The sequence below is a fragment of the Homo sapiens genome, chromosome 16 (genome assembly GCF_000001405.40).
Source record: "Homo sapiens chromosome 16, GRCh38.p14 Primary Assembly".
Lineage (NCBI taxonomy): Eukaryota > Metazoa > Chordata > Mammalia > Primates > Hominidae > Homo > Homo sapiens.
In genome coordinates, this window is record NC_000016.10 from 21,288,429 (window position 1) to 21,299,775 (window position 11,347).

At 37.1% G+C, this 11,347-nt stretch overlaps 1 protein-coding gene and 1 long non-coding RNA gene across 2 annotated transcripts in view, besides 1 other annotated feature; one reads left to right on the forward strand and one right to left on the reverse strand.

Moving 5' to 3' along the window:
• The window catches only part of CRYM (crystallin mu), a 44,542-nt gene that overhangs the window by 29,908 nt on the left and 3,287 nt on the right, over positions 1–11,347 (reverse strand). The gene's annotated exons all lie outside the window — the stretch shown is intronic.
• On the forward strand, positions 2,042–5,531 carry LOC105371125 (uncharacterized). The gene is made up of 3 exons (XR_950905.3): positions 2,042–2,074; positions 2,750–2,910; positions 4,827–5,531. It is a non-coding gene; the product is annotated as an uncharacterized LOC105371125 (long non-coding RNA).
• Positions 7,640–7,934: a silencer, noted in NCBI's record as "tiled region #10772; K562 Repressive non-DNase unmatched - State 9:DNaseU". NCBI's record gives its function as "represses a minimal TATA promoter and a strong SV40 promoter by Sharpr-MPRA in K562 cells {active_cell/tissue: K562}" and the evidence as "EXISTENCE:reporter gene assay evidence [ECO:0000049][PMID:27701403]".

Genomic DNA, 11,347 nt, shown 5'->3' on the forward strand with positions numbered 1-11,347 from the left:
TTCTCTTGTAATGTTTTTTAATTTTTGTAAGATTGGTAGTAATGTCTTCTCTTAGTTTCCTGATTTTAATAATTTGAGGCTTCTTTCTTATTTTGGTCAGTCAATATAAAGGTCTTTGATTTGTGTTGATTCTTTAAAGGGATTGTATATTTTCCCTGGCCTGTTGTTTTTACATTCTCTATTTATCTCTGTTTTAGTCTTTATTATTTCCTGCCTTCCACCGGCTTTGGGTTTGGTTTGCTCTTCTTTTTCCAGTTTTTAAGGTGGAAGACTAGATTATTTATTTGAAATAGTTTTAAATGTAAGAATAAATGTGAAAAAACTAAACTGCTTTTCTTATAAGTTTTGGTATACCATATTTTTGTTTTCATTCATGTCAAAGTATTTTCTAATTTCCCTTATGATTTTTTATCTGACTCATTTGTTGCTTAAGTTTGTATTGTCTAATTTACACATATTTGTGTATTTTCAGATTTCCTTCTGTTACTGATTTCTAATTTTGTTCCATTGCAGTCATAATAAGATGCTTCATATTATTTCAGTTTTTTATAATTTATTAAGACTTGTTTTGTGGCCTAATTAATGGTCTGTCCTGGATAATTTTTTTATGTACACTTGAGAAAAAAATGTGTATTTTGTTATTGTTGGGTAGAGTATTTTATATATACCTTTAGGTCAGGTGGTTTATTTTGTTGTTCATATCTTATATTTGTTTGATCAATGTAGTTGTTCTATAATTATTTAAAGTGGGGTATTGACATCTCCAACTACTATTGTTGAAAGCCCTTAAATCTGTCAGTTTTTGCTTCATATATTTTAGGGCTGTGTTGTTAGGACCATATATGTTTGTTACTGTTGTATCTTCTTCATGAATTAACCCATTTAATAGTATATAATGTCCTTCATCTCTTATAACCGTTTTTATCTTAAAGCCTATTTTGTCTGACATTAGTAGAATCATTCCAGCTCTCTTTTGGTTACCGTTTGCATTGAATATATTTTTCTGTCTTTTAAACTTTTATTTGTGCCTTTAAATTTAAATTGAATCTGTTGTAGGTAGCATATGGTTGGATCATGCTTGTTAAAATCCATTCTGCCAATCTCTATCCTTTAATTGGAGCAGTAATCTATTTATATTTAATGTAATCACTGATAGGGAAAGACATACTTCTACCATTTTGTCATAAGAATGTCATAAGAATTTACATATTAGGTGCAAACTTACCCTCTACCTCCTCACTCAGGTGACACCCTCTCTTCTGTCAAAGTGAGAGTTGAAGCCAGCTGGGCTGCTGGCACAGGTGCCCGGCTTTTATTCCCTTATTTGGCCCTGCCCACATCCTGCTGATTGGCCCATTTTACAGAGCGCTGATTGGCCCATTTACAGAGTGCCGATTGGTCCATTTTACAGAGTACTGATTGCCAGCTGGGCTTCTGGGTGGAGTGGGGACTTGGAGAACTTTTGTGTCTAGCTAAAGGATTGTAAACACACCAATCAGCACTCTGTAAAATTGCACCAATCAGCACTCTGTGTCTAGCTAAAGGATTGTAAATGGACCAATCAGCACTCTGTAAAATGGACCAATCAGCACTCTGTAAAATGGACCAATCAGCACTCTGTAAAATGGACCAATCAGTGTTCTGTAAAATGGACCAATCAGCAGGATGTGGGTGGGGCCAAATAAGGGAATAAAAGCTGGCCACCAGAGCCAGCAGTGGCAATGTCGGATCCCCTTCCATGCTGTGGGAACTTTTTTCTTTTGCTGTTCACAATAAGTCTTGCTGCTGCTCACTGTTTGGGTCCACACTACCTTTGTGAACTGTAACACTAACCACGAAGGTTGTAGGCTTCATTCCTTAAGTCAGTGAGACCACGAACCCACCGGGAGGGACAAACAACCTGGATGTGCCACCTTTAAGAGCTGTAACACTCACTACAAAGGTCTGCAGCTTCTCTCCTGAGGTCAGCAAGACCACAAACCCACTGGAAGGAAGAAACTCGGGACACATCTGAACATCTGAAGGAACAACTCTGGACACACCATCTTTAAGAATTGTAACACTCACCGCAAGGGTCCGTGGCTTCTTTCTTGAAGTCAGCGAGACCAAGAACCCACGGGAGGGAACCAATTCTGGCCACAAAAGCATCTTACAAATATGCTTTTTGCTCAGACTTATAATTTCATCTTTTTTTCCAGTAATTTGAACTCAGTCTTGAAGTCTTACAGTGACAGTTCAGAGCCTTACCTCTTAAACATGTTTCTTATTTACTCATATATATTCATAAACTGTTATACATATTTAATTTAGTATTTAGAGGAATCTCAGCATCAAGTTTGTTTCTCTGAGGATGTATGTCCTTTCAACTGATGATATATTCCTTATCCTCTTTCCACTGTTGAGTCCTAGGCTACATTTCCTATCACATCTTTGCTTTTTCATTGGTTATATAAAATAAACGGTATGAGAAATAATCAGCATTGGTTTCTTGTTCGCATGAGATGACAGGAAGACAGATGATATGGACATCAGCTTTCCCAAAAGGATTTTCCAAAGCTGTAATTATCAACACAAACTATGTTTCAAGAAATCAGGGGTAGTATACTTTATGCTAAAAACGGAGGGTTTGTGAGAATAATGTTACAGCTTTTAATTTTCTCTGTTTAATTTTATCAACTTGGGAGACTTTTGTTATCCTGGGACAGTTCATTTCATATAAAGCATGCTAACATTATCTTTTTCATTGCAGATTGGAATAATACTTTTAAAAACTTTCTGCTTGATTCATTCCTGCTGGTACCCATTTATAACCTTGGGATGAGCATCAGCAAATACTATGATATCCAAGAGGTGAATATGTTGTGTTCCTGTTGAAAAGTATTCCTAACTCCATAAATTACAGTACAGAAAGTGAGTATCTGAGGCTCTACAAATCTCATCAGAGCTACTGGTAGTCAATTACTTATTACATGTGAATAATTCTACCTACATTACTGTGAATCTTGACAATAACTCAAGTTATATGTTATCCTCATTTTGAAAAAACTAAACCTTACACAATGTAAAAACTTGCTCAACACCACAAAATTTGTACAAGATAGCACTAAGATTCAAAGCTTATGTGCATAATGCATTTTCTCTGTGGGAAAGAATCTCTGTGATTAGTATCTATATTGTATTATACATTAATCTCAATAGAGGGGAAAGCACTTGAAAAAATTTAACACCCTTTTATGATGAAACTTCTCAACATCTTTGCATGTGCTTATTTGCCACATGTGTATCATCTTTGGTGAAGTGACCGGTGAACTTTTCTTTCATTTATTGTTGAATTGGTCTTTTTTCTTACTATTGGGTTTTGAGAATTCTTTGTACGTTCTGAATATCAGCCCTTTGTGTAGTAAGCCATTTGCAAATATTTTGTCCCAGACTATGGCCTTTTATTTTTTTCAAAGCATCTTTTAAGAACCAAACGTTTTTAATTGTGGTGAAGTTAAATTTATCATTTTTTAGTGAATTGTGCTTTTAGTGCTATATCTAAAAAACTTTGCCCAATACAGAGTCACAAAAGCTTGATTGGATGTCTTCTTCTAGAAGTTTTACTTAAGAGAAATGAAAGCATATGAACATAGAAACACTTGTATGCAAACATTCATAAATAGCTTTAATTATAAAGGCCAAAAATTGAAAATAACCCAATGTCCATCAACATGTGAATGGGTAATCAAACTGTGAATTATTCATACAATGGAATACCCTCAGCAATAAAAATGAATGATCTACCAAAAAAGAGACTTTTCAGCAAAGGAGGACTAGAATGAAACATCTTCACTTTGAGTAAGGAAATCTAGAAATATCTATTGCTAATATCATTTTCAAGGCAATACCATTGTGGTAGCATGAAATACATAAAACATTTAGGGAAAATTTTAAAAAAGATGTGCAGTACCTGTACACTGAAGACTGAAAACATTGCTGAGAAAAATTAAAGATGACTTGAGATAATGGAGAAATATACCTTATTCATGGATCAGAAGACTCAATATTTTTAAATTGTCAATTGTCCCCAAATTGATTTATACGCTCAAAACAATCTCAATCAACATCCTAGAGGCTTTTTATTTTTGGTAGAAATTTAGCTGATTCTAAAATTTATATGGAAATTCAAAAGAACTTCATTATCCAAAAATATATATTTTCTTAATTGCAAGATTTTGTGACAACTCATTTTAAAACTTATTATAAAACTACAGTAATTAAGACAATGTGGTATTAACATAAGTAGAGACATAGATGACAGATGGATGGATGGATAGATAGATAGATAGAATAAGATACAGAGTTCAAAAATAGATTCACACATGTATGGCCAATTGATTTTGGATTCAAAAGAACTTTATTATCCCAAACTATACTTTTTTAATTGCAAGACTTTGCACCAACTTATTTGAAACCTTATTATAAAACTACGATAATTAAGACAGTGTGGTATTAGCATGAGTAGAGACAGAGAAGATAAATGCATGGATGGATGGATGGATGGATTGATGGATGAACGGATGGATGGATGAATGAATAGATGGATAGGTAAGTAGATAGAAGATAGATAGATAGATAGATAGATAGATAGAATAAGATACAGAGTCCAAAAATAGATTCATACATGTATAGTCAGTTGATTTCAGATGAGGTGCCAAAGTAATTCAAATGAGAAAGGATAGTCATTTCAATTAGTGGTCATGGCCCTAACCTGTAAAAGCTTGTGATTATTTGATACCTAGCAAACAGACAAATAAAATCCCTATAACCTCTTAACTCTATCCCAGTAGGAAGAAGGTTGTGAAAACTGTGCATTCTAAAAGACAGCGTAGATTGAAACACCCACTTTGGATGCACCAAGGGAAAAGCAAATCTGAGTGCTACAGGAGACAGTGAACAAGGGAATCTCTCATAGAGAGCAGGTGAGGATTCTGCAGAAAAGAGAATACGGAACACAGTGGCAACAGCGGTAGATCCATCATGAGCTGGGAAATACTGAAAAAAATCTCTGAGAACTAGACCTAGTCAATCAAAATCCTGGTTATAGGGGGAAATAAATAAAGAGGCTTGAAAATGTGCAAAGCTATAAATGTTAATCTTGAGAGATATTAATTTGGAGGTTAGAGAGAAGCAACTTAGAAAATAGAAGTGCCCTTTAGAATTAGGGTAGCAAAGAGAAATAAGGACATGTCCAGCATAATTTAACTTCATACAGATATTAGCAAGAATCACAGAATTGAGTCGCTTCATTCCCTTAGAAAAAGTTCTATTTGTTAAAGAAACTGCACTTCACTGTATTAATAGAAGAAGATGAATATGTACTAAGAAGCTTACAAACTAATCAAAATATTACCATTCATCCATTAAATCACTTGTTATTGTTGGTTCAGATAATCAATTTAATATGCCATAAGAAGGAAACAGAAGAATATCAAAATACTTCAATTGATGAAAATTCCTGTCCCTCACCTGCCAAAGGAAACTAACCACAAAGCAGAGGGAAATAGTAACTAAGTATCAATATACGGGAAACTGGAGAACAATTTGTCAGCAAAAAGGTAGAATACGCATAACTTCTCATTACCATCTCACAAAAGCTTCAAAAATTAGCAGAAACTGTCTGAACCAATTTTGTCAGGACTATGGAAAACAATCAAAAGTTTATAGCAACCAAATGAATACTGAACCAATAAAAAAGTCACTTCAAAACAGTGGATAGTTTTGTGATGATTTTACACGCCCTTGCCCCTCTCCCTCCCTGGCACAGGAGTGGTCGTGGTCTTGAAGCAGGAGTAGTCTGCAGTCCCAGTTTTGGACCGTTTTCCCTGGCTCTGGAGGGTGCGGAGCAGAATTTATTCGCAAATTATTATTATTTTTTTAAATTTACTTTAAGTTCCGGGATACATGTGCAGAATGTGCAGGTTTATTACATAGGTATACATGTGCCATGGTGGTTTGCTGCACCTATCAACCTATCATCTAGGTTTTAAGCCCCATGTGCATTAGGTATTTGTCCTAATGCTCTCCCTCTCCTTCCCCGCCACCCCCTGACAGGTCTCAGTGTCTGATGTTCCCCTCCCTGTGCCCATGTGTTCTCACTGTTCAACTCCCACTTATGAGTGAGAACATGCAGTGTTCGGTTTTCTGTTCCTGTGTTAGTTTGCTGAGAATGTTGGTTTTCAGCTTCATCCATGTCCCTGCAAAGGACATGATCTCATTCCTTTTTTTTTTTTTTTCTTTTTTTTTTGAGACAGTCTTGCTCTGTTGCCCATGCTGGAGTACAGTGGCGCGATCTCGACTCACTGCAACCTCCACCTCCTGGGTTCACACCATTCTTCTGCCTCAGCCTCCCAAGTAGCTGGGACTACAGGCACACACCACCACGCCCAGCTAATTTTTTTGTATTTTTAGTAGAGACAGGGTTTCACCATGTTGGCCAGGATGGTCTCGATCTCCTGACCTCGCAATCCACCCACCTCAGCCTCCCAAAGTGCTGAGATTATAGGCGTGAACCACCACACCGTGCTGATTTCATTCTTTTTATGGCTGCATAGTATTCCATGGTATATATGCACCACATTTTCTTTATCCAGTCTATCACTGATGGACATTTGGGTTGGTTCCACGTCTTTGCTATTGCAAATAGTGCTGCGATAAACATACATGTGCATGTGTCTTTACAGTAGAATGATGTGTATTCCTTTGGGTGTATGCCCAGTAATGAGATAGCAGGGTCAAATGGCATTTCTGGTTCTAGATCCTTGAGGAATCACCACACTGTCTTCCACAGTGGTTGAACGAATTTAAATTCTCACCAACAGCGTAAAAGTGTTTTTTCCTATTTCTCCACAGCCTTGCCAGCATCTGTGGTTTCTTGACTTTTTAATAATCTCCATTCTGACTGGCATGAAATGGTATCTCATTATGGTTTTGATTTGCATTTCTCTAATGATCAGTGATGTTGAGCTTTTTTTTATGTGTTTGTTGGCTTCATAAATGTCTTCTTTTTAGAAGTGTCTGTCATATCCCTTGCTCACTTTTTGATGGGGTTTTGGAATAGGTAGTTCTTTTTATGTCAGTTTTGTATGTTGTGCTTTTCAAGGAATTCGTCCATTTCACTTAAATTGTTAACTATAGTAATACAATGGTATAAAGTTATTTGTAATATCAAAAAAGAAAATTAGGCCAGATGTGGTGGTTCACGTCTATAATCTCAGCACTTTGGGAGGCCGAGGTGGGCAGATCACCTGAGGTCAGGAGTTTGAGACCAGCCTGGCCAACATGGTGAAACTCTGTCTTTACTAAAAATACAAAATTAGCTGGGTGTGGTGGCACATGCCTATAGTCCCAGCTACTTGAGAGGCTGAGGGAGGAGAATCGCTTGAACCCAGGAGATGGAGGCTGCAGTGAGCCGAGATCATGCCACTGCACTTCAGCCTGGGCAAGACAGATCAAGACTCCGTCTAAAAAAAAAAAAAGAAAGTTATTTTGTTGCACCCCATCTCCTATATATGAAACTATTTCCAAAACCATAAGAAAATTCATCTCACTAAAACATGAACAAATTAAAAGATTATAATTGAACTCCATAGAAAAATATCATAAGTAAAAGACCATTTTCCACCATGTCCAGCTAATTTTTGTATTTTTAGTAGAGACAGGGTTTCACCATATTGGTCAGGCTGGTCTCCAACTCTTGACCTCGAGTGATCCACCCGCCTTGGCCTCCCAAAGTGTTGGGATTAAACGTGTGAGTCACTGCACCCAGCTGGAGTTTTTTAAGTAAACATTTAAGAAACACTTACTTTTCAAGAGCTAATAGTGTGGAAAGTGTAAGGGAAATGGAGATTGGAAAAGAGAAAAATAGAAAAACAATCAAATGGAAATATAGATGAGAACTTGTCAGGGAGAAATAAGGCAATATCAATTCAAAACAATTATGAAAGCAGTCCACAAAGATAAAAAGCAAAACCACAGAACAAATACTAAAACCTATCATTCAAGAAAATTTCCTGAAATAAAAGAACACAAATCTACTCATTGAAAGGGCAACCAGTATACCTGAAAAAACTGACCCCTAATCACTAACACCAAGGAATATTCTAATAAACTACTTCACTTTAATAATAAAATGGGGCAGGGACTTTTATATATGTAGACAAAAAAGACAAGCATTTTATAATAGAAAAAGTCAGATCGAGTGCAGATTTTGTAACAAGAAGGTCTTATGCCAGGAGAGCAAGTCAGATGTTTAAGATACTCACTGAGGCCGGGGGCTCACGCCTGTAATCCCAGCACTTTGGGAGGCTGAGGCGGGCGGATCATGAGGTCAGGAGATCGAGACCATCCTGGCTAACACGGTGAAACCCCGTCTCTACTAAAAATACAAAAATTAGCCGGGCATGGTGGCAGACACTTGTAGTCCTAGCTACTCAGGAGGCTGAGGCAGGAGAATGGTGTGAACCTGGGAGGTGGAGCTTGCAGTGAGCCGAGATCGCGCCACCGACTCCAGCCTGGGCGACAGAGCAAGACTCCGTCTCTAAAAATAAAAATGAAAAATAAATAAAGATATTCAATGAAAGAAAAACACAAGCAAGGTTTTTACCTCCAGTCGAAGTGACCTTCAAGATTAAAAGTCACAAAAGGCCAGGCGCGGTGGCTCACGCCTGTAATCCCAGCACTTTGGGAGGCCAAGGCAGGTGATCACCTGAGGTCAGGAGTTCGAGACCAGCCCGGTCAACATGGTGAAACCCCATCTCTACTAAAAATACGAAAAATTAGCCGGGCATGGTGGCACATGCATGTAATCCAAGCTACTCGGGAGGCTGAGGCATGACCATTGCTTGATCCGGGAGGCAGAGGTTACAGAGAACTGAGATCTCACCATCGCACTCCAGCCTGGGCAACAAGAGCAAAACTCCATCTAAAAAAAAGAGAAAAGAGTCACAAAGACTCATGAACACAAGGAATGCTGTTTCTATTAGCTCTTCCTGAAGAATATACAAATGAAAAAAATTCCCATTAACTAAAAATTGATTGGCAGAGCTTGTGTGTAAGAACTAATGGTGGGCATTGACTATATGTGCCTCTAAAATTTGGGCTAAATGAAAGGTATCTGTGTGATAAAATATAACATAATTGATACATATTTTAAAAATGCATAAATGTTTCTGTATCATGAATATAACAATAAATAGAACCAACCAGAGTGGGGATATGTGCCATGTGAGTGTCTTATGCATGTATGTAGATATGTGTATTTCCATTGACATGTAATTACAGAACAGTGTGGGAGAACTTCTATAGAACATATTGGTCCTCTCAGTAAACATAGAAAGGCTTAATTCTCTGACTAGATGAAAAAAATATTTTTCAGATTGGCTAACAAGCAAAATCCAACTCTGCGGTATGTAAGAAACACAACTAAAGCAAACTGTATCACAGAGGTTAAAAATAAAAGAATGATCTTTATGTTCTCATGCTAGACCAATACTTGGCCTTTAGCAATGCATTAAAAAATGTTTAAATCTTCTTACCAATTGATATATCATTTTCAGTGTCTGCCTTGTATAAGTAGATGCTTGTCCTGTTGCTCCCTGCAGGCACCTGTCTCTCCCATGATGCTGAGTTAGGTGTTTGTCCAGTATTTGCCCAATCAGAGAACTGATAGGTTAAATAAAAGCTATTAATTTGCAGTTTGTCCAGCCTTTCCTTATGTGAAGAGTGAAAGGGATATTCACCAGTTCTGTGTACCTCCAAGGGAAAGCTAAAGTTGGCTTAACCAATTTTACAAAAAGCAATGACCCAAAAATTCTACCTTTAGGTATATACCCGAGATACTTGCATCCACTTCTCCCAAGAGATACGTAAAATAATATTCAAATAAGTTATATTCACAAAAGTCAAACACTAAAAACAACCCGCATGTCTCTATTAGTAAACAAATGGGAAATATACAACATTCATATACCAGATTACTGTGCAGAAAGGAAAATGATGAATTATAATTACATGCAACATGAGTGAAGTTTCCAAACATAATATTGAGTGAAGCAGAAAGAAAGGAATGAATACTGGATGATTCCATTCATATAAAGTTCAGAAGTAGAAAAATTGAAATCACAATTTTAGGGGTGCATGTGTAGATAAAATGATAAAAAGGGAACTGTTAGGGAATTGCTCAAATAACAATAAAAGCAATGGATACTTTTTATAGAGGACAGAAGCTGGGAAATAGCCCATGGGAATGTATGGGTTATTATTACTTGACCTGGATAGGGTGGTTTTGTGTGTATTTGCTTTAAATAATTCATTAAGCTCGATGTTTGAAATATCTCATATTTATTTGTGTGATCATGAAGGCAATACATGCTTTAAGACTAACATTAAGAAAAATCCCACACTGTTACAAACATGTGTTTTTTCAAACATTTTTAATCCCAGTTAATTTCATTTGCTATAATCTACAAATATGCAATAAAAGTGTAAATACAAATGTTTATTCTAAATTAGGAATAGACACCACCCTCTTTCCTCCTACTCCACCAGTGGATCATTACTCACCTGTATAAGAAACTAGAACAAGTGGCCTGACTTTGGTGATTTATATGTGATTTCCTGTTTCACACGTGAGGCTATTCTTACTATGATTATTCTTATTATGATTAATCCTTATTGTTATTAATCTTGTTCTTATTGTGATTATTCCTGTTGTCCTCCCCACCAAACACACTGTACCTGCCCACACACTGCCGGGAGGAAAACATCCTGGTTCAGATTCTCAGCACTGCGTTTAGGAATAAAGTCTCGTAGCAACATTAGGCTTTTAGTTTTTTTTTTTAATTTTTTTTTTACTTTTTGAAACAGAGTCTCACTCTGTCACCCAGGTTGGAGTTGAGTGGCGTGATCTCAGCTCACTGCAACCTCTGCTTCTTGGGTTGAAGCGATTCTCCTGTCTCAGCCTCCCGAGTAGCTTGCATTACAGGAGTGCACCACCACTGCTCGGCTAATTTTTCTATTTTTAGTAGAGACAGGGTTTCGCCATGTTGGCCAGGCTGGTCCCAAACTCCTGACCTCAGGTGATCCGCTCGCCTTGGCCTCCCGAAGTGCTGGGATTACAGGCGTGAGCCACTGCACCTGACCACATTAGACTTTTAGAAGGCTCAGGTGTTTTACATTGGGCAGGTGAACTGGCTAATATTTGTACCCTCAATCATTGCTATGAACTCCACATAATAAGACTAGTTCATGAGGAATAAATCTGCCGAAACCATTAACTATATCATGGATACCAAAGAGATTGGGTTAG